At 39.0% G+C, this 24,601-nt stretch overlaps 1 protein-coding gene across 11 annotated transcripts in view, besides 1 other annotated feature; it reads right to left on the reverse strand.

Annotated features, from left to right (window-relative positions):
- Nucleotides 1-24,601, reverse strand: part of TRPC4AP (transient receptor potential cation channel subfamily C member 4 associated protein) — a 90,404-nt gene that overhangs the window by 41,474 nt on the left and 24,329 nt on the right. For 9 of the 11 annotated variants that reach the window (XM_047440096.1, NM_199368.2, XM_047440095.1 and 6 more), the window contains exons 4-7: nt 13,637-13,694; nt 11,099-11,154; nt 5,989-6,117; nt 628-835 (exon numbers count right to left, since the gene is read on the reverse strand). In XM_047440096.1, coding sequence (XP_047296052.1) covers nt 628-835; nt 5,989-6,117; nt 11,099-11,154; nt 13,637-13,694 — 451 coding nt within the window. Of the gene's footprint in view, nt 1-627; nt 836-5,988; nt 6,118-11,098; nt 11,155-13,636; nt 13,695-24,601 lie in introns of those variants that run through there. The other 2 variants (XM_047440102.1, XM_047440101.1) reach the window with 1 other exon arrangement.
- Nucleotides 12,011-12,120: an enhancer, noted in NCBI's record as "active region_17772". NCBI's record gives its function as "activates an Ori minimal core promoter by ATAC-STARR-seq in GM12878 lymphoblastoid cells {active_cell/tissue: GM12878}" and the evidence as "EXISTENCE:reporter gene assay evidence [ECO:0000049][PMID:35858748]".

Genomic DNA, 24,601 nt, shown 5'->3' on the forward strand with positions numbered 1-24,601 from the left:
TATACATCATTATCTATAAAATGAAGGCCCAGGAGAGACTTAGTAGATCAAAAAGTATATGCATTTGTAATTCTGATAAAAAGTAGTTCTTAACTTTTTTTGTGGTTCTGAGCCCATTAACAAATCTAATGAAAGGTATGGAACTCAGTTCCCAAAATAATGAACAGATACACAAAATTTACATACTAGGAGCCTTCACATGGATCCATCTCTAGAGATATTTAAAAGGGGTGCTAGGTGTGGTGGCTCACACCTGTAATTCTAGCACTTCGGGAAGATGAGGTGGGTGGATCACTTGAGACCAGGAAGTCAAGACCAGCCTGGGCAACATGGCGAAACCCCATCTCTACAAAAAATACAAAAATTAGCCCGGTGTGGTGGCACCTGCCTATAGTTCCAGCTACTCAGGTGGCTGAGGTGGGAGGATCACCTGAGCCTGGGGAGGTCAAGGCTGCAGTGAGCCACGATTGTGCCACTGCACTCCTGCCTGGGTGACATAGTGACGATCCCATCTCAAAAAAGGAAAAAAAAAAAAAAAGAAAAGAAAAGAAAAAGAAAAAAAACTAGATGATTTAGTAAGGGCCTCAGAGCTATAATCTCAAAATTCTGAGAACTTGGAGACTTTACCTTGATTGATTTCAGCTGCAGAAGGCCCCAAACTCAAGCTCTTCTTCTGTTGAGCATTTTTGGCAAGAAGCGTGTGCTTGTCATCATTCCCTGTATCCATCTCTGAAATGGTGACAGCCAGAATCCGGCAGAAATTAGCGAGCTGCTGCTGATCGAAATTGGATACTAAGGAACTCAGATTGGGGACTTCATCTAGTCGGATCATTTCCTACAGAAGACAAAAATGAAACAATCCCCATGCTCAATTCACTCAAGAGATTGGATGTGCCTCTCTTTCGCATCCCCTTACATACGGGGCTTAGTGGCTAGATCACTTAGGTTCCTATCCCAGCTCTGTAACTTGCAGCTCTGAAACTTTGGTTAAGTTACAAAAACCTTTCGAGTCTTTGCTTGTTTATCTGTAAAACGGAACTAATCTACCTCACAGGATTAGTCTGAGGACTAAATTTACCTTTTGAGCACCACTGTTTTCAATTGTTCTTGTGGTATATTTTGCCTATTTAAAAAAAAAGGAAATGCCTACCACTCAAGTTTTGGAAATCATAAATTACCATTCTTGCTACAGATTTGCTTTTTTAAAAAATAAAATACTTCAAATATAGCTAAAGGCCTCTGTGTATCCCCCATCCAGTCGCATTTTTTTCTCTCCCTGCAGACGTAAACATTATTTTGAACTCTGTGTTTATTATTCCCGTGCATGTTTTTATACTTACAAATATTTCCATTAAAATACATGTTACTGCTCTGCATGCACAGTGTGAATGATACCATACTATACCTTACTTTTCATCCAACATTTTGAAGTTTATCTACACTGATACAAGCAGCTGATTCAATCACTTCCCGCCGTTTTACCCCACAGTTTAATCATCTCTCTCTTTTAAGAGACAGGGTCTCACTCTGTTGCTCAAGCTGCGGAGCAGTAGTGTCATCATAGCTTACTGCAGACTCAAACTCCTAGGCCCAAGCAATCCTCCTACCTCAGCTTCCCAAGTAGCTAGGACTACAGGTGCGTGTCATTACACCTGGCTACTTTTTTAATATTTTTTTTTTTGAGATGGTATCTCATTGTCGCCCAGGCTGGAGTGCAGTGGCGCAATCTTGACTCACTGCAAACTCCACCTCCTGGGTTCAAGTGATTCTCCTGCCTCAGCCTCCCAAGTAGTGGGGATTACAGGCGCCCGCCACCACGCCTGGCTAATTTTTGTATTTTTTAGTAGAGATGGGGTTTCACCATGTTGGCCAGGCTGGTCTTGAACTCCTGACCTCAGATGATCCATCCACCTTGGCCTCCCAAAGTGCTGGGATTACAAGCGTGAGCTACCACGCCTGGCCAATACTTTATTTTTATGGAGACAGGGTCTCACTATTGTTGCCCAGGCTGGAACTCCTGGACTCAAGCAATCCTCCCACCTTGGCCTCCTAAACTGCTGGGATTACATGTATGAGCCACTGTGCCTGACCCTTTCTTCTTTTAATACATATTTAGGTAAACTACAGTTTTTCACTATTAAACAATGTTGCAATGAACATTCTTACAGGTACTCTCTGTGTACACATGTATGTGACCATTTATCCAGAGTGAGAGCAAGAATTCTTGTCTTTTTCTTGACTTTACCAGAAATAATTCCAAAACATTAAAATTAAGTTCAATATTTGCTGTAAATTTTAATATCCTATAAGTTAAATTTTAATAAATACCCTATATATAGTTTATAAGTTTTCCTTCTATTGCTAGCTTTTATTAAGAATGATAATTTTATGGAATGCCTTGTGCTATTTGGTTCTATTCTCACTCATTACTCCTTAAAATCTGTAAATGGCATGTACTACATCAACTTTTCTCATTTTGAACCATCCCCGTGCTACTCAGATAACACCTGCTATCCTTCATCCCACTAATTTACTTCCACTGGATTGGGTGTTTCTCTTTCACTGCACAGATCACATGAACTTTTAATAATCTGTTCCTGCATCTATTTCCCAAATAATCTGACCATACTTTGATGAAGGCATATATCCTACCCTTTCTCCTGAGACTCAATGCACAGGACCTGGTAGCAAGGGTATCAGTGAATGTGCCCAAAACGAGTGCATGATTCCTAGAAGCTCTCATGAATCCCATACTCGCCTCTATTTCTAGTAATGGAGGACAGGAATTTGCTGTGCAGGGGGCATTGGGGAACAACTGCTTCCACTTTTCCTTTTCCCTAGTACAAAACAAATGTAAGCTACTACTATTATTGGCAACTGTAACTTGTAGCTCACCAGTTCCTCTAGCCCTGTCTAACTCAGTATATGGTTCCCAAAACAGGTCCCACCACCCCCAGCCCACTTCTTATGGTTTTTTGTTTTGTCTTAAATTTTAAGATTTTTTTTTTTAAGGCGGAGTCTCACTGTGATGCCCAGGCCAGAGCGCAATGGCACAATCTCTGCTCACTGCAACCTCTGCCTCCTGGGTTCAAGCAATTTTTCTGTCCCAGCCTCCCAAGTAGCTGGGACTACAGGCATGCACCACCATGCTGGGCTAATTTTTATATTTTTAGTAGAGACAGGGTTTCACCCTGTTGGCCAGGCTGGTCTCCTGACCTCAAGTGATCTGCCCACCTCGGCCTCACAAAGTGCTGGGATTACAGGCATGAGAGCCACTGTGGCTGGCCAAGAATTTACTTCTTATGTTTTAATTTTTGATATGTACAATACGTATTATGCAGCACAACAAAATGACTAGCTGTGTGTGCCTTTCCTATTGCATCTCTCTGCCTCTGGGAACCACCATCATTAATTATTATTGCCTTGCCATTTAAAAACTAGTTTTATCAACAAATAATTTGCTTTTTTGAGCTTTATGAAAATGATATACTACCTACAGTGTTCTGCAACTGGCTTCTACCACTCGATTATTTCAATTACTCAGCTATGTTGTTGCCTATGGCAACAGTTCATTCATTTCTACTATATAATATTCCATTGTGTGAAGAAAGTACATTCATCCCTTCTCCTATTCATGGATCAGAGACTTGGTTTCAGTTTTTTGTTCTGAAACAACGAAGCTACAAATGTTCTTATGTGTTTCTTGATGCACAGGTGGAGAAGTTTTTGCTGGGGCAGTGGCTTCTAAACTTTTTAGCTATCACCAAGAACGACCACCAGTAAACATACATATTGGAATGTATATAGAAATGTCAAACAAAAACTTATTCAAAAAATACCCTTACACAATACAGTTTGATCTTTTCTACTTGGCTGGTAGACCCGATGGACTGACTTTACAACCTTCTGGGTTTCAATCCTAAGAATCACTGTTCTAGGACTGAGCTTCCCCACAAGTGTGTCCAGGCACAGGTTATAGGTAACCCATGGCAAAATACTGATGCCTCAGCCCTCAGGGTAAAGCTTCCCTAGGTGCTGGGGCACAAGATATGTGCCTGTTCAACTACAAAACAAAAAAAAAGAGGATATTCTGCTGATAAACATTTATCAGTAGTATACAAGTGTTTCCACTGATACACACACTCACCAACATTTGCCCACTCTCTCCCTCACTATGGTATTGATTTGCATTTCCTTGATTGCCAATCAAGTTAAACATCTTCTCTTTTATGTTTATGGACCATTTCTTTCTTGTCTGTGAAATGCTTGTTCATAACATTGCCCATTTGTCTACTGGGCTATTTCTCTTTTTCATGCTGATTTGTAAGAATTCTGTTTTTTTTTTTTTTTTTGAGAGGGAGTCTTGCTCTGTTGCCCAGGCTGGAGTGCAGTGACATAATCTTGGCTCACTGCAACCTCTGCCTCCCGGGTTCAAGCAATTCTCATGCCTTAGCCTCCCAAGTAGCTGGGACTACAGGTGTGCACCACCATGCCTGGCTAATTTTTGTATTTTTTAGTACAAAATGAGACTGGGTTTTGCCATGATGGCCAGGCTGTTCTCAAACTCCTGACCTCAAGAGATCTGCCTGCCTCAGCCTCCCAAAGTGTTGGAATTACAGGCATGAGCCACCGTGCCTGGCCTGTAAGAATTATTGATAAATTCTGAATACAACAAATCCTTTGTTGGTTACCTGAATTCAAATGTCTTTTCCCAGTTTATGGTGTTTCCACTTTCTTTATGGTATCTATCCCCCTTTCAAACTGCACCAAGATACCCATAATGTTTGGTGGAACACCTCGCCATTTTGGGGTACACAAAAAGGAATGAGAGGGAGTGAGAGGCAAGTGGGAAAAGTTGTGAAGGAGCACTTCTAGACTCCTATGCTGAGACTGCTAAGGAGTCTGGAGTTTCCACTCTGGAGGTCCCCTTTCACACACTGGCTGGAACACACAATTACTGGAATAACAACAAAGCCTTTTTATCAAAGGGCACAAAGGGTCTGTCTGGGGCCTGCACACATCTCCAATGTGTTCCTACAGACAATAGGCCACTTGTGCTGGGCAATGACAAGCAAGGCCTGGGGAAAGCACAGCAAGAAGAAATGAACGCTGGGTTCACCACAGTGCACATGAACATCCACCTCCCTGCAACAGCAACCTCTAGGAGGCTGCTCAACAGGAAGAGAAAGAAATCTGCCAACCAGCAACCAACATGGAGGCTCAGGACAGATTAGGACTGGGGAGGTGAGCTCCAGGTCCTAACAAGCATTACACCAAAAATGTAACACAGTAAGTCTCTAACAGAGATCTATGAATGTATTTTTGGGTATCTGTGAATTCTTGAAATTTTTAATTTAGTTTTCATTTCGATCATAGCTGTTTTTTTTTTTTTTTAAAGTTATGGGTCATCCGAATATTAACCTTATGACCAAGTGGCAGGATTTCAGAGCTCCCATTTGTCTCCTACTGCGCTGGTGCCAATTAACCAACTTTAATTGTTGAAGACTAATGAGAAAAAATAGAGGCGGACTTCATAAGTGAAAGCCAAACATTACTACCAAGGAGAACATATCCTAATGAATGAAGGCTTCACACCAGTTCAGATAGCGGTAAAGTGGTAAGAGAATGGAGTCACTGCATAGCATACAATAGCACATACATGCTACAAAGAACTTGCCCCAACGGTGATGAGTGAGGGGCAATTTGATTTCAGCAAAGTAACATGAGGCATCACCCTACATTCACAGAGTCAATCTGAAGTTCTGAGTTTTAGAATTAGTTTGATTTCAATGTATGTCTGTTTAGGTTTTACAGTCATTTAAGAACCACTAGTATAAGGGGTAATCAAGTTTTATACTTGAATACATCTGAGTAACAAGACATAATTTAACACTTTCTTTTAAAAAAGCTCTGTATATTATTCAGTTTTGAGAATCCAATGGTCTGAGACACCCTTCCCCATCTGGTCAGCTAGAGGACACAGCTCACCTTTTTAACACCCAAAATATCTTCAATGAGGGTTGCTGTTTGTAAGAATGTCTTCTTACTTGTCATCAATGTAAACAGGAAGATCACAAAGTCATTCTTTTCTGCCAAACGCTTTGTAACTCCCTCTGTCTGTCACAAGAAGAAAAGGCAGAATAGGTTGTAAGTACAAAATAAATTATGAAAGTACAAGGCATCCTTTACAGACACTGAAAAGCAGTTTCACCTCTGAAAACTGGCATGAGTCAACAAAACAGGAATGGCATGGCTTAACTGTGGGAAACGCTCGTTAACTCCCCAGCTATGGAAGAAAAAAGTCTCCTGACGTGCAGGCTACACAAGTGGGAACTCACTTGTGAGAACATAACACAATGAGATGGTATTTCCTAAAATAACTTATCTCAGAGTTCTGAAGGCCATTCTTAAATCTGAAATCAAACAGTGCCGAAGCATGGACTTAAGAGTCAGACCTAAGTTCTAATTCCAGCTGTGTGATCCTGAGCAAATCACTTCTCACCTTTGGAACTCCATTTTTTTCATCAGTAAAATGATCATCTTAAAAGTCTTTGAGGCCAGGCGTGGTGGCTCACACCTGTAACCCCAGCACTTTGGGAGGCCAAGGTGGGCAGATCACTTGAGGCCAGGAGTTCGAGACCAGCCTGGCCAACGTGCCAAAACCCTGTCTACTGAAAATATAAATATTAGCTGGGTGTGGTGGTGCATGCCTGTAGTCCTAGCTACTCAGGAGGCTGAGGTAAAAGGATCATTTGAGCCCAGAAGGTGGAGGCTGCAGTGAGCCTAGACTGTGCAAATGCACTCTAGCCTTGGCAACAGAGGGAGACCCTAACTCAAAAAAAAAAACAAAACAAAAAAACCAACAACAACAAAAAAACAAAACCCCCAAGGGGTATGAAGGAAGTTAAGGAAACTAGCTGGTAAAAGACCTTAAAACTTAGGTTCAAGAGTTTGGATTTAAAACTGCAGTATTGTCAAGTGCAGTGGCTCACACCTGTAATCCCAGCTACCCCGGAGGCTGAGGTGAGAGGACCGCTTGAGGCCAGGAGTGTGAGGCCGCAGTGAGCTACAATCTGTCTCACCACTGCATTCCAGCATGGGGACAGAGTGAAACCCTATCTCTAAAAAGAAAGAAACTGCAGTACTGCTATAGCTTACACACACACACACACACACACACACACACACACACATATATATCCCACCCCTACTGCCTTAAGGCAACTAGAGCTTAGTGACTTTAATATTTCTTTTTTTTAGCCTCTAAGCTGAAAAAATTCCAAGGTTTACTGCGATAAACTTGACTTCTCCTTAAAAAGTATAATCAAGAGTGCAGACACACACAGTTTGGTAAATGGGAACCCCAAGCTAGGAGGCATTTCAGAATCAGTGAAATGAGATATGTTGCAACAAATTTAATTTTCTTTCTTTTAATTTTAGAGACAGGGTCTCACTCTGTTGCCCAGGCTGAGGCCATGACTATTCACAAGTACGAATATAGCTCACTACAGCCTCAATCACCTGGGCTCAAGCGATCCCCCCACCTCAGCCTCCTGAATCACTGGGACTACAGGCGTGCACCACCGCACCTGGCAAATTTAATTTTCAAAGTGAAGGCATCAATAAAGATGTGCCACGTATATAAATCTTTGACGATCACATTAAATAGGACACTAAAGAAAGCAATCTCCATCTGTATTAATACATTTCGGTTCTTCAGTCGTAGCACTGACACATTAAAAAAAAAAAAAAAAAAGGTTGTTATTCCCGAACTACATACAGTACCTACACTGGCTATGATATGTGAAACAGGACTGACTCTAGTTTTACTGACAAGCAAAAGTTCTGGAAGATCCAAAGAAACAGAACAAAAAGAGAACTAAATTTACACTTTCTCAAAGCTTAAAAATCTATCTCCAGGCTGTCAAATACACAACCCTGCTGCTCTAACTAGCTACCCTTGACTACCCACCTTTCTCCTCTCTTCAATTTATCAAAGTGCTACTCCTTTTACAGACTGACTAAAATGACTCCTCTTGGAAAACCTTCCCAAGTCAACAGTGGCCACCCAAAAGGCCATCACAATCCTTCCTTTCCTCTATATCACAAGTTCTTAACTGAGGCCAAAAAGCACTAAAACAATATATAAAAGGTTGTATGCAACTACATTTTTCGGGGGAGAGTTTTTTCCATGTAACATTCATCATAGGTTTTTTTTTGGTTTTTTTTTTTTTTTGGAGACAGGGTCTCACTCTATAGCCCAGGCTGAGTGAGTACACTGGCACAATCATGGCTCACCGCAGCCTTAACCTCTCAGGCTCAAGCAATCCTCCCACCTCAGCCTCCTGAGGAGCTGGGACTATGGTATATAACACCACGTCCAGCCAGTTTTTTATTTTTTGTAGAGACAGGTTCTATGTTGCCCAGGCTGGTCTTGAACTCCTGGACACACACAATTCTCCTGCCTCGGCCTATCAAAGTGTTGAGATTATAGGTGTGAGCCACTGCGCCCAGCCTAATCATAAGCTCTTGACCTAGTATCTGTCAAGTATCTAAATGAGGAGCTACAAACTAGCATCCAGTAGGCCAAGCTTTTTCTGGTGAGCAGTACTGTTTATTTTTTTATCTTTTATTTTTTGAGAGACCCTCACTCTGTCACCCACGCTGGAGTGCAGTGGTGCAATCTCAGCTCACTGCAACCTCTGCCTGCTGGGTTCAAGTGATTCTCTTGCCTCTCCTGAGTAGCTGGGACTATAGGCATGTACCACCACACCTGGCTAATTTTTGTGTTTTTAGTACAGACGGGGTTTCACCATGTTGGCCAGGCTGGTCTGGAACTCCTGACCTCAAGTGATCCACCCGCCTCAGCCTCCCAAATTGCTGGGATTACAGGTGATAGCCACCGTGCCCGGCCAACAGTACTTTTTAAACTTTTGAATTCAAACATCTTTAGACAGGACATACTTGCTCCAGTTTAGTCACAGTTTACACAAGTCCCCACTCCAACACCAGCAATTCCAAACATTTCCTGTTTTCTGCCTGATCCCTGGAGGCATTGGTGTTTGCAACCCTGAGAGCCCCAGGTTCTCTACATTAACATGGAATTCAGCCAGATAGCACATAATTGAACCATATCGCCCTATGTTCCTCAAATTTTTTAAAAAATTTTATTTAAAAATACTTTTAGTTGATATATAATAAAGGTACATAATTTCAGGGAGCATATAATTTAATACATTCGTATAATTTATAAAAATCAAATCAATGTACTTGGGATAGCCATCAGCTTAAATACTTGTCTTTTCTTTATGCTAAGAACCATTCAAATTCTCTTCTAGCTATTTTGAAATGTAAAACAGAACAGAATATTATAAACTAAGTCACCCTTACTGATTTATCTAACACTAGGTCTTATTTATCATCCCATATATTTGTACCCATTAATCAACTTCTCTTCATACATTTCATTTTTTTAACTTAACTGTTTTATTGGAATGTCACTGATTAACATTAGGTATCATGATTTTAAAACGGCCTCATAAAACTAGTGACTATATGGAGTTGCCAAAGATGGAGTCATTATATTATACACTGTCTTCTTCTATAAGGACAATTTCTTATTGGCCTTAGTTGCAAGAACTGTGCATTTCCTGAACAATTTGAAATTTTATCTTATAGATCTCCCTGTGCCTATCTCTGTCATTGGCTATACATGGCTACCGAGCACTTAAAAGGTGGCCAGGCCAAACTAAGATGTGCTCTGGGTGTTCAAACAAGAGGAAAGAAAAACAAAACACACACACACATTGGATTTTGAGAGCTCAATACGAAAAACAAGTAAATATCTCATTAATAATTAATTATACTGATTACATGTTAGAATGACAATATTCTTGATACACTGTGTTAAACAGAATTTATCATTAAAATTAACTTCACCACTTCTTCCTACTTTTTTCTTTAAAAAAATGTGGCTACAAGGAAATTTAAAATAACCCAAGTGGCTTGCATTATATTTCAATTGCACAGCACTATTATAGATGCTGAATTACGTAAGTGTTCAAACATATTCCCCTATTTGTGTTGGCTGCTAAGAAGCTTGAAGCCAAATTTGTGCCCATCCGTAATACAGATGATTTTATGGTCTTCATTTTTATATCAGCCCAATTCCTGGCTATACGTTATGTCCCCACCTTTATCTTCTTCTTTCTTACCTGCTTCTAAGTTCGTGATCTTGGTAGATTTTGCATACACCCACAAGATGTCAGAAATCTTATTTTGAATGAGGCAAGAAATGAAATGGAGCTAAATGTTTTTTTTTTTTTATTTCCACAGCATACAGGGTTCACATTTATAATAGCGCTCGTCTCATTCTGCCATGTATTATGATTCACAGTTTACACAGTTTATCATAAGTTTCTAAAAGACAGGTACTGTATCTTTTAAAAACTAACATTTATATATTGTTTTACAAAGTGTTTTCACATCTACTATCTCATTTCTCACAATAAATCTATGATGTTAATACAACTGCTAACTGCATTCTATTGGTAAGAAACTACGGCTTGGGAGGTGTACTAAGCCAAGGGCCAGAACACAAAATCAGGTCCTAACACTAAGTGCCATCCTCTTTTGTTTCTACCAGATTGCTTTCTTTATTCACCATTCTTCCTGGCTCAGTGGTCAACCTAGTAGAGTCCTGCTCAATATATGGGCGGGGCTTCTGGTTCTCATTTTGTTTTCTAACAAGGAAAATGAAGAAATAGGCATAATGGAGTTAAAATGAGTCTTAAAGGTCACAGTCTGCCAACACTTGTCACCTTTTGACAAGTGTCCAGTTTCTACTTGGACAGCTCTAAGGCCAAAGGAGTTTACTACCTGCTGCAGCAGTCCTGGCTCTTAACAACTGCTACAAAATTCTGCCTCCCCGTAATTTCTACCAGTTAGTCCTGATTTTCAGGCACACATAAAATAAGCCCGATTCCCCCACTGTCTGAAAGCAGCTCTTATGTCTGCCATTCTACTCGAATATTCCCATCTTAAACATTGCAGACCTGGTAGGGGAGATAAACAGAGCCCCAGTGGCAGGGGTACTTACACAGACACAGGTATTATACAGGATACTCAAGCAGTCCTTGGACATTTCATCACTTACTGAAAGTGAAAGGGTAATGACTGGTTATTTTTCTCAATGAAAAGATAGTACAACAGTTACCACATTTTTTTCAGCATAAGAACTGTTATAATCCCCTCCAAGATGATTATTTTTCCTTTAATATACTTCTTCCAGCCCCTGTCTACCAAAGGTTTTCATAGTGCCCATCAGAACCTACAAGCCCATTTGCATATTGCTTTTGGTTTGATACAGCAGCTGTTTTCTTATTATGCTCCACAGTCTTCATAATTTCAACCTGTTGTTGTGCCATCATTTAATAAAGCCATTTTCCCTTAATGTCTTGCTTAGGATATATCTAGGATTTGTTTTTTTTGTTTTTTGTGTTTTTTGGCTATTTAAGTAGACCACAAATGAACAACTTAATATATATGTGTATCCTTTTCATGTTTGTATTAAACTAGTTCCTCAAGATACATTTTCAAAAGTAGAACTACTAGAATCTAAAGTATAGGCATCTTTTTTTTGTTCATTTGTTTTGGTTTTTTAAATGAGGTCTTACTCTGTCACTCAGGGGCACAATCACAGCTCACTGTAGTCTCGAACTCCTAGGCTCAAGCAATTTTCCCTCCTCACCCTCCCGAGTGGCTAGGACTGCATGCGCGTGTACCACGCCTGGCTAAAAGTTAAAAGTATAAGCATCTCAATTGCTCTTGTTATAAATTTCCATTGAAAGTTCTACTGCAGCAAACAAAAATACCATTTTTATCAGACTCATTAACTGAGCATTTCTTTTTTTGTTGCTGTTATCTGTGTTGGGCAAATGGCTCTTAATGTCTGATCTATTACTAATTCTTATAAAGAAACTACTACTTCCCTGTGAGCAGGAACAGGAAAGTAGCATAAAAACGAAACTTAATTTTCATGAGCCCAAAACCAAAAGATGATGAAACTGAGTATGAACCATGGACAAAGTGCTTTATTTGGCACTTGCTTCTATTTTTTAAAATTGTTTCCATTCACTCCTAAGCTGCTAGGAATGCTAAAATGCTAGGTCTCCTTCTCAGATCCCAATGGGCAGCCCTGCCAAGCTAGCTTGACTAGATGGGTTGTCTCATAATCCTGAGACAACGCAGACGCTCTGCATCCCTTATCACCACCTTTCAACCTACTGGGGCTCTGTGATTGATTTATTTAACGACTTCAGAGCAGGGTGAAACACTGCTCTGCATGTCTCACTATATATCTCACTATTTCTAGATCCTCCATTTTTAAAAGGAATTGGGATTCACTCATTCATCAAGTATTGTTCAGCATCTACTCTAGAGCAGATACAGTGGTGAGGGAAAAAAAGTCTCAGCCTTCATGGAACCTATAAATCTAGTGGGAAGAAGAGAGACTAAACAAGTGCACCAACAAATAATTACAATATGCTACTTGCTATGAGGGTACATAGAGAACATGAAAGACCAAGTTAGAATACACAGCTGAGACATTAAAAATGAATATAAATCCTCTTAATAACCACTACTGCATGCACAAATGAGGCCTTATACAGTATGTCGTATTGGGGTAAAAAAAAAATCTTTTAAATTAAAAAAACGCAAAGTTGGTAGGAGGGCATTCACCAAACATTAACTGAAGTCATCTCTGGCTTTTAACACCAGAGTAAAGTGCATTCACTTTTTTATTTTAAATTAAATACCGAAGCTGGGTGCGGTGGCTCATGCCTGTAATCCCAGCACTTGGGAGGCTGAGGTGGGCAGATCACTTGAGGTCAGGAGTTCGAGACCAGCCTGGTCAACATGGTGAAACCCCATCTCTACTAAAAAAAAAAATACAAAAATTAGCCGGGTATGGTGGTGGGCGCCTGTAATCCCAGCTACTTGAGAGGGTGAGGCAGGAAAATCACTTGAGCTCAGGAGGCGGAGGTTGCAGTGAGCCAAGATCATGCCACTGCACTCCAGCCTGGGCAACAGAGCGAGAGACTGTCTCAAAAAAAAAAAAATTGAATACCTAAAAAGAATTATTTGTAACGTGTAAGTTATAAAAAATAATAATAGAATATTACCCATATATCTACCACCCAGCTTAAGAAATAGTGCATACCAAAACACTCTGACTTTTTACCATTCACACCCTGGTAATGCCTGAACTTTTTACAAAGAGCATGTATCACCTTTCTAAAAAAAATAGTTTAAAAAAAATAAAACAGAGTGATCTTACTCTCTCAGCTAGTTATATGTGAGAAAGAAGAATTTCCCAAGGAAACATAGAAGCTGGATCACAGGACTATCAAAAGTACAAAGATGCATTCTCTTAACCCAGATCTGAATTTCTACGCAGTACAGAATGAATAAAGACAGCTGCTTAGCTGGGGGAGGAGAGAGCAACCTGTAGCTAAATGTAAGACATGTCCTTACTATTAAGAGTTAGGAAGGGAAGGAAGAAGGCAGCTGCTGGGAACTGCCACCGTATCGGCAGGTTGGAAAACAAGGACCAGTAGCTAATAGGTATACTTACTTTTCAGTTTCTGTCCCCGGATAGAGATCGTAGGCCTCATAAGAATTTCTACAAGAAGCTATAAAAAAAATTAGATAAAATCTTCAAAATTAATTCAAAGTATAACTTATAAAATGATTTTGCCATAACCATTCATGGCCCATGTATCTGTCACAGTATTACAAGACCCTTTTGTTCCAGGAGGCAGTTAAGGTTCAGTAAGGCTCCTGACTGCAGCAAGTCAGGAGACCCAGGTTCTAGTCCCAGCTTGGCCACCTACTTGCCCTTCTCTGGCCTCAGCTTTCTCATTTTTGAAAAGAAGTATTTTAGATTAGGTAATCTCTGGGATCTAATGCGGCTTTAATTTCTGAAAAGCTGCAGAACATTATTACTATGATTCTTCTGTTTAAAGAACATTTGTAAGTTTATTTTAAAAGGACTCAAAAGATACACCATAAATTGTTAACACTGATTTCTACAGGTTTGGGGGTTATATGCATGTGTTTTTTATTTTACATACTTTAATACAATTTTGCACAAACTGTTTAAAATAAGCATGTATTTAAAAATTCATTCTACGGAGAGAAAGGATAGTTGATAAAAGGGTCAATCCATTAGAAAGATATAACAACTACAAATATGTATGTACCTAACAATAGAGCCCAAAAATACATGAAACAAAAGCTGGCAGAAATGAAGGAAACAGATAATTTAAAAATAAAAGTTGGACACGTTAATAACTCTGCTTTCAATAATAGACAACTAGGCAGACGAGCAAAGAAATAGAAGACTTGAACACAACGAACACATATATTCTAACAGACATCTACAGAACACTCCATGCAGCAAGAACAGAGTATACATTCTACTCAAGTGCACATGAAACATTCTCCAGGACAGATCAAATTTCAGGCCACTGAACAAGCCTCAATAAATTTAAAAGCACTTAAATCACATACAGTATGTTGTGTGGCCACAATGGAATGAAATTAAAATCAGAACGAAATTTGGGAAATTCATGAATTATATGGATAATTTTAAAAACCCATCCTAAATAATAATGGGCCAAAGAAGAAACCACAAGGGGAAGTATAAAGTATCCAAGAAGGATGAAAATACCAAAACTTATGATGTAGCTAATGGAGTGCTCAGAGGGAAATTTATAGCTGTAAATGCCTATATTAAAAGAAAATTCTTTTTTTTTTTTTTTTTTTTGAGACAGAGTCTTGCTTTGTCTCCCAGGCTGGAGTGCAATAGCCCTATCTCGGCTCACTGCAACCTCCGCCTCCTGGGTTCAAGCGATTCTCCTGCCTCAGCCTCAGAGTAGCAGGGATTACAGGTGCCTGCCACCACTCCTGGCTACTTTGTGTATTTTTAGTAGAAACGAGGTTTTGCCATGTTGGCCAGGCTGGTCTTGAACTCCTGACCTCAGGTGATCTGCCCACCTTGACCTCCCAAAGTGCTGGGATTACAGGCATGAGCCACCGCACCCGGCCAAAGAAAATTGTTTCTAATCGATAACCTAATCTTCTACCTTAAGACACTGGAAAAAGAGCAGACTAAACCCAAAGCAAGCAAAAGGGAGAATAAGAGTTGAAACAAATGAAACAGAGAATAGAAAATAACAGAAAATGAACAAAACCAAAAGCTGGCTCTTTGAAGACTGGCAAATTCTTAACTAGACTGACCAAGAAAAAAGGAGAGAGGATACAGATTACTATACTCAGAAATAAAGGAGAGGGCATTACCACCAACCTTATGGCAACAAAAGTGATTATAAGGAACTACTATGAACAACTGTATGCCAACAAATTAGATGACCTAGACGAAATGGACACATTCCTAGAAAGACATAAAACTAAAAACTGACTTAAGAAGAAACAGAGGCTGAGCATGGTTGTTCATGCCTGTAATCCCAAGACTCTGGGCGGCTGAGGTGGGAGGACTGATTGAAGCCAGAAGATTGAGACCACCCTGGCCAACACAGCAAGACCCCATGTCTCTACAAATAAAATAAATTAGCTGGGCGTGGTGGTACGCCTATAGTTCCAGCTACTTGGGAGACTGAGGCAGGAGGATTACTTGAGCCCAGAAGGTTGAGGCTGCAGTGAGCTATGATCATGCCAATACACTCCAGCCTGGATGGCAGGGTGAGACTCCATCTCTTTAAAAGAAAAAAAAGAAGAAGAAGAAGGAAGAAGAAGAAAGAAGAAGAAATAAGAAGAAGAAGAAGAGGAAGAAGACTACGACGAAGAAGAAGAAGACGAAGAAGACGACGAAGACAAAGAAGATGAAGAAGAAGGCGAAGACGAAGACAAAGATGAAGACGAAGAAGATGAAGACAAAGAAGACGAAGATGAAGATGAAGAAAAGATGAAGAAAAGACGAAGACAAAGATGAAGATGAAGAAGACGAAGACGAAGAAGACAAAGACGAAGAAGACGAAGAAGAAGAAAAAACAGAACATCTGAACAGCCCTATAACAAGTAGAGACTGACTTAGTGATTTAAAAAAAAACAAACAAAAACAACAATAACAAAAAACTACCCATAAAGAAAAACCTTGGACATGATGGCTCCATTGGTGAACAATACAAGACATTTAAAGAATGATCAATTCTTCACAAACTCTTCCAAAAAACAGAAGAGAAGGAAACATTTCCCAACTCATTCTTTGAGGCGAGTATTACCCTGATACCAAAACCAAACAAAGACATCACAAGAAAACTACAGATGAGTATCTCATGCATATATACACAAAAATCCTGAAAACCCTAGCAAACAAAATCCAGACACATACAAAAAGGATTATACTCCACGCATGATGGCTTATGCCTGTAATCCCAGCACTTTGAGACGTCAAGGCAGGAGGACTACTTAAGCCCAAGAGTATGCAACCAGCCTGGGCAACATAGTGAGACCCTGTCTCTACAAAAATTAAAACCAAAAATTAGCCAAGCATGGTAGCATGCTCCTGTAGTCCCAGCTACTCAGGAGGCCGAGATAGGAGGCTCGCTTGAGCCCAGGAGAGGCTGCAGTGAGCTGTGATCACACCACTGCATTCCAGCCTGGGTGACAGAGAGACCTTGTCTCCAAAAAAAAAAAAAAAAAAAAAAAAACAAGAAAAGGATTATACACCATGACACTATGACAAAGTGGAATTTATCCCAGGAATGTAAGGTTGGTTCAACATATGAAAATCAATATAATACACCATATCAATAGAATAAAGGACAAAAGCCAAAAGCCACACGGTCATCTCAACAGATGCAGAAAAAGCGTTTGGAAAAAAAAACCCAAAACACTTTCATGATAAAACAATCAACAAGGAATAGAAGAGAACTTCTTCAGCCTGATAAAGGGCTTTTATTAAAAAACCCACAGCTAGCATCACGCTTAACAGTGAAGACTAAATGCTTTCCCATTAAGATGAGGAAAAAGACAAAGATGTCCACTCTCGCCACTTCAATTTAACATTGTACTGAGTGTTCTAAGGCAACTAGAGAAAAATAAAAAAAGAAATTAAAGGCACCCAAATTGGAAAGGAATAAGTAAAACTAACTATTTACAGATGTCACAATCTAGAATACAGAAAATTCCTAAAGAATCCACTCAAAAAAACTATTAGAGCCAATAAGCAAGAGTTCAGCAAGATTTCACGATATGTGATCAATATACATAAATCAACTGTATTTCTAAAATTGTAGCAAGAAGCAAAAAAAACTGGAATTATGAAAACAATTCCATTTAAAGGAGCATCAAAAACAGTAAAAACACTTAGAAATAAGTTTAACAAGTGCAAGACTTGTACAACAAAACATTTTTGAAAGAAATTAAAGACAATCTAAAAAAATGGAAAGCTATCTTGTAGTTCATGGATCAGAAGATTTAATATTGTTAAGATGATAATACTCCCTAAATTGACCTACAAATTCAATGCAATCACTATCAAAATCTCAGCTGGCTTCTTTGCAGAAATTGGCAAGCTGATCCTGAAATTCACATGCAAATATAAGGGATGCATAACAGCCAAAACAATCTTGATCTGTAAATACAAAAATAAACCCGTGTCTATGATCAGTTGATTTTTGACAAGGTTGCCAAGACAATTCAATGATGAAAGAGTAGTTTTTTCAATAAGTGGTGCTGTGACAACTGGATAGTCACATGCAAAAGAATGAAACTGGACCCCTGCCTCACATGATAAACAAAGTCAATGCAAATGGATCAAAGATCTAAATGTAAGATACAAAATATAAAATTCTCAGAAGAATACATAGGTAAATCTTTGTGACCTTGGATTAGGAAATGGTTTCTTAGATGCACACCAATACCCAAGTAACAAAAGATAAAATGAACTTCATCAAAATTAAAGACTTTGTGTTTCAAAGGACACCATCAAGAGAGTGAAAAGACAGCTACTTAATGGGGGAAAATATTTGCAAATTACAAGGAATTAGTATCCAGAAACTAATACAACTCAATAATAAAAAGACAACCCAATCAAGAAATGGAGAAAGCAGATGAACAGACATTTCTCCAAAAGTCCAATAATAAACAGATGATCAACATTAGTCATCAGGGAAATGCAAATCAAAACCACAATGAGATACCTCTTCATACCTACTACGATGGTTATAATGAAAAAGACAAATAGTAACTATTGGCAAAGATGTGGAGAAATTAGAACCTTCATACACTGCTGGTAGATATGTAAAATGGTGCAGCTGCTTCAGAAAGCAGTCTGGCAGATCCTTAAAAATTAAACAGAGTTACCAGCAACTCCACTTCTAGGTATATACCAAGGGAAATTTTTTAGTAAGACAATCTAATAGAAAATGAAAACACGTCCACCTAAAAATTTATATGCCAATGTTCATGGCAGCATTATTAATCATAGCAGATTACTAATAATAGCCAAAAGTGGGAACAACCCAAATGTCCATCAACTGATGAATGGATAAATAAGATGTGGTCTATCCATACAGTGGAATATTTCTTGACAATAAAAAGGAATGGAGTATTGATACACGTTATGACACGGATTAACCTTGAGAACATTATGTTAAGCAAAAGAAGCCAGTCACAAAAGACCACGTATTGTTATGACTCCATTTATGTGAAATGTCCAGAATAATTAAATCTATAAAGACAGAAAGTAGATTAGTGGTTGCCTAAGGATGTGGGAGGGAGGCCTTGGGAGGAAATGGGGAGTGGCTACTGAAGAATATGGTGTTTCTTTTTTGGAGTGATGAAAATGTTTTAAAATCAATTGTGGTGACAGTGGTATATAACTCTGACTATACTAAAAAACTGAATTATATCTTTTAATATATCTTTTAAATGGGTGACTTGTATGACATGAATTATATCTCAATAAAGCTATTATTTAAAACAATAAAACACCTCATGCTCAGTTATAGAAGCTAGACATAAAAAGCCACACAGTGGACGATTCTGTTGATATGAAATATCCGTAACAGGTGATATGGTTTGGCTGTGTGCCCTCACCCAAATCTCACCTTCAATTGTAATAATCCTCATGTGTCAAGGGTGGGACCAGGTGGAGGTGACTGGATCATGGAGGCAGGTCCCCCATGCTGTTCTCGTGATAACGAGGGAGTCTCATGAGATCTGATGATTTTATAAGTGTCTGGCATTTCCCCTGCTTGCACTCACTCTGTCCTGCTGCCCTGTGAAGAAGGTGCCTGCTTCTCCTTTGCCTTCTGCCATGATTGTGAGTTTCCTGAGGCCTCCCAGGCCACATGGAACTGTGAGTCAATTAAACCTCCTTCCTTTATAAACTACCCAGTCTCAGGTATTTCTTCATTGCAGCATGAGAACGGACTGACAGAACAGGCATATTATGGACATTATGGATATTTCACAACAGGCATAATACAGACATAAAATAGATTAACGGCTGCCAGAGCTGGGGAGAAGGGGAGATGGGGAGTGACTGCTAATTTGTACAAGATTTCTTTTTGGCGTGATAAAAATGTTCTGGTTATCACTGCACAATACTGATGGGTGGTTACAAGAATTAACTTTATGTAAATTATATTTCAATAAAGCTGTTATTGCTGGGGAGGCAGGGTGGCTCGTGCCTATAATCCCAGCTACTGAAGAAGGTGAGGCAGGAAGATCATTTGAGACCAGGAGTTGGAGACTGCCTAAGGAACAAAGCAAGACCCCCATATCTCTAACAAATATTAAAAAATTAGCCACGTGTGATGGCATGAACCTGTAGTCCCAGCTACTCGGGAGACTGAGGCAGGAGGATCACTAGAGCCCAGGGGTTCAAGGCTGCAGTGAGCTAGGATCGTACCACTGCACTCCAGCCTGTGACACAGTGCAACTCTATCTCTAAAATCATCCCAACAATTTTTAAAAGCTGTAATTAAAAAAAATTCTGTTAAACAAATTCTAGGTTAATATAAACAGAAAAAAATAAATGTTAGAAAGGAATACTCCCGAATCTTAACAGTGGTTGAATTTTGGTGACAAGTCCCAAGACAGTTTTTCACATTTTCCTTGACAAACACCTTTTCCTTTTAAAATGAGAAAAATTAGGACCTTTGTTTTCCAAAAAAGTCCAATTTTCACTTAAAGCATTTAAAAATTATCTATATGCTGAGAATATGACTAAGCCCATATGTTTAAAGACATTCCCTATATACGTATGTATTTTTTATTATTGTTTAAATCAAGCTAGGAGCTACCCCAGAACAAAAAGAAAAATTCTTCCTTAGCCCCTTCTAGCTATAGGCCAATACTTAGGCAGCATGTCCAAGACACCTCAAGCCAAATGAAGAAGGAAGATTCCATAGCATTTTTTAAATTAAAAAGCCAGCAGGCAAATCTTTGAGACTAGACAGTTCAGCTTGAGGGTCTGAGAAAGCCTCTGCTCATCTCAAACCAGCAACAAATCTTTAGAAAGTAATTCACATGCCATGAGATTGCTCGTGGCATGAATGTGACACTATAATTCAACATCCTGAATTAAGAGAGATGTGTTATTTTAGCTTAAAGCAGCAGATTAAAAATAAAAATCCTAAACTACTACACCACAGATTGTCAATTCTAGAGAAGCACTGGGCTCAGCTTTCTGCACATCTGTATTTATTGTTAACTGCACTTGCAGGAGGGAAAAGAAAGAAGTCTCATGACTTGAGGCAACAATGAAAACTGCCCTGAACATATGCCTGCTTTGCTTTGTATAATAGAGACCTAAGGTCATCCTCTAGAAAAGGTGAAGTAATTATTATACAGTATATAACCATTTTATAGCCTGTTTTCATCATGAATTTTCCCATATTACTATAACTTTAACATTATATTAACAACTTCATAAAATTCAACAAAATAGATAGAATAACCATTATCTTCTCCTGGTAGATAGTCATTACAAATAATGTTACACCTAACGGTCTTGGTATACACAAGCTTTATCTCATTTTGACTTACGTCTTCATCAGAGTCACAGAAATGGAAACAACAGGGCAAAATGAGTAGTAATGTTTAAAGCTCTGAAGTATACTACACCAATTCTTCTCAAAAGAGATCACATTCATCCAAGTAAGACGTAAGATGCTCAAGTGCATAGAATGTATTTAAAATAAATTAACTTCAAATGGAAGATAGACTATGTCAGTGAATAAAAGTTCCTGAATGCCAAGCAATGGCTTACACCTGGCCCACAATTACTGAAAAGCTGGAAGATTTTTACCTACAAATCTAGATTTCCCATAACCTCTCAGGGAAACACTCAATGGGAGAGGAAGAGTCATTTCCTCCATAAAAGCAGGCACACACTCTCTAGCCCAAAACATTCCCCATACTCATTTAATTTATGCAGATGAGCTTGCTCTGGGTCTGCTTCACTCCACTTAGTTACATACTTCACATCTGCTTTGTAAACTCTAAGACACACTTTTCACAGTCATGTTATGGATAGGGTCAGGCTGACAAGGAGTGATCCCACTGAGCTTTGGGCAGCATGACCAAGAGAGGCTTACTTTGGGTTCTTGCTAGTTATTAGCAGAGGAAGAAATAACAAGCTGTTTGGAAAATACTACCAGCAGCAGGACAGCAAGAGAGTTCACTAACAAATGCACCCAAACTGAAGGTCAGTGAGGTGCATAATTACTTAAGCAGGAGCCCATGTTTATAAAATGACTGGGATTCCTGGAGAAGCTGCCCTAACTCAAAGCAGGAAAGAAAAACCCCCACAAAATCAAGAACAGTTGATCCAAAGATGTCCGAAGATGGGATAGGCTCCTACTAGAGAGCCACATTTCCACTGCAAATAGACACAGGCTACAGACCTACATTATTATTTTTCCTCCCATAAATACATCAGTTCTTACTAAGTAGATTTCTTGATGAAACAATTCAAAAGTAAAGGGTCTCTTGAGCTAGCCAAGTAAGTAAATGCCCTAGGACCACCGACACTGCTGTGGAGAGGGAATGCGGAGCAGCAGTTAAAGAAGAAAGGCTGTGGCTGATGCCATGCATGCAGATGTCACACTCAATCTTTACTTTACTGGAAAATGGTAGCTTTAAACAAAAGGAAACTTTAATAATTGAAGTATAACGTGATACCGCATAAAGAGTACAATTTTTTTTTTTGAGATGGGGTCTTGCTCTGTCACCCAGGCTGCAGTTCATGGTGCGATCTCGGCTCACTGTAGCCTCAACCTCCCGGACTCAACCAATCCTCCCACCCAGCCCCCATCAAGCAACTGGGACTGCAGGCCATGTGCTACCACAATCGGCTAATTTTTTTAATTTTTAGTAGTGATGGGGTTTTGCCGTGTTGCCCAGGCTGGTCTCTAACTCCTCAACTCATGCAATCCGCCTGCTTCGGCCTCCTAAAGTGCTGGGATTACAGGCATGAGTCACTGTACCTGGCCATGAGTATAAATTGCACATGTAGTTTTACACACTGAACACCATTCCTGTACAATCGCCACATAGATCAAGATAAAGACTAACCATAATACCCAGAAATGCCCTCTCCCTCATGTTCACTTCAGGTAATGGGGTTAAGGGCAGATATCTAGGGGAGCAAAGTCAGATCCTAACCCCTCAGTCATTACACCAAAATAAACTTCAAATGATGCAAAAATTTAAACATACACAATAAAAACTGTAAAATATTAGAAGGAAATAGGCATGGTTTAAATCCAACAGTGGGAAAGGCATGAACCAAAACTCTGAAGCCATTATAGTAAAACACTGATCAATCTGACAATCTAAAAATTAAACATTTCTAATTTTAAAATAACATCAAAATTTAATTCTCAAAATAGTAAAAAAACACAAATGACAAAGGCCTTTAAAAAATCAAAAGCACTTACAGATCAATAAGAAAAAGGACAAATAATCAAATCGAAAAAGGTGCAAAACAGAAAACTGGCAGAAAAGGAACTACTTATAAACACAAGAAAAAATATCCAATCTCAGTCATAGAAGAATGAATTTTAAAAACTATGCAGAGAATTTATAAAGAACTCTTACAACACAATATTCAAAAGAGATATATCTCAACTAAGAAATTGAAAAAGGAGAGACAGACATTTCTCCAAGGAAGATATACAAATGACAAACTCAAGAATAAGATGGTCATCATTGGCAATCAGAGAAATTCAAATCAAGACCACAATGAGATGTCTCTTCACACTCACTAGAATGGCTGTAATCATTACAGGGCTGGAGCGGGGGCTCATGCTTGTAATCCCAGCACTTTGGGAGGCCAAGGCTGGGGGACTGTTTGAGTCCGGGAGTTTGAGACCAGTCTGGGCAACAAAGCAAAACGCCATCTCAGTACTTTTTTTTTAAATTTTAAAACACTTTCAAAATGACAGATAACAAGTGTTGGCAAGGATACAGAAAAACTGAAACCCTTATACACTGCTGGTGGCAATGTAAAATGGCAGGGCCTCTTGGAAAACATTCTGGCAGTTCCTCAAACAATTAAACATAGAGTTACCCCATATGACCCAGCAACTGTATTCCTAGGTATGTATATGCCTGAGAGAAATGAAAACATGTCCACAAAGAACCTGTGCAAGAATGTTTATAGCACTGTTATTCATAATAGCAAAAAGACGGAGGCAATCCAAATGCCTCTCAACAAATAAAAAATGTGGCATATCCACACTGTGAAACATCATTTGACCATAAAAATGAGTGTTGATACATGCTACAACACAGATGAATCTAGAAATCATTACGCTAAGTGAAAAGAAGCCAGTCACAAAAGACCACATATTATATAACTAAATTTATACAAAACGTCCACGACAGAGAAATCTATAGAGACAAAAAGTATACTAGTGTGGGGAGAGGGGGAGGAGGTGGTAGAGGTAGGGGAGTGCTAGATAAAACACATGGAGTTTCTTTTTTGAGGTGATGAAAATGCTCTAAAGTTGACTGTGGTGATGGTTGCACATATCTGCAAATATACTAAGAACCACTGAATTGTGTACTTCAAATGGGTGAAATGTATGGTATATGAACCATATCTTAATAAAGCTGATTAAAAAAAACTATGGAAAAATATCACTTTTCTCATAACTGCTTAGTAAATACTTAAAATACACTGTTTGTGGAAGGGGGCTTCTGGGTACTGGTAATGTTCTATTTCCTAATTTGGGTGGTAGTGCAAAAGTGAATGTATTTTGTGGTAATTATTGGTGTACTTTTCTGTATGAAGGTTATACTTCAGTAACAAAGTCTATAAAAATACACACATAAACACAGTATGTTGGTGATGGTATGGGTAAACAGACGCTCATACTTTGTTCCTGGGGATATAAACTGACAAAACTTCTTAGGTAGGTAAACTTCAGATTTATAAACAATAAAAAACATACGTTCTTGTTCCAAAGGTATATACTCACATGTATACAAAAATATGTAAAAGATCTTTACTGCAACCTTGTCTGTAAGAGAAATGGTGTGGAAAAATTATAAATGCCAG

This window comes from Homo sapiens, chromosome 20 (assembly GCF_000001405.40).
Source record: "Homo sapiens chromosome 20, GRCh38.p14 Primary Assembly".
Classification (NCBI taxonomy): Eukaryota; Metazoa; Chordata; class Mammalia; order Primates; family Hominidae; genus Homo; species Homo sapiens.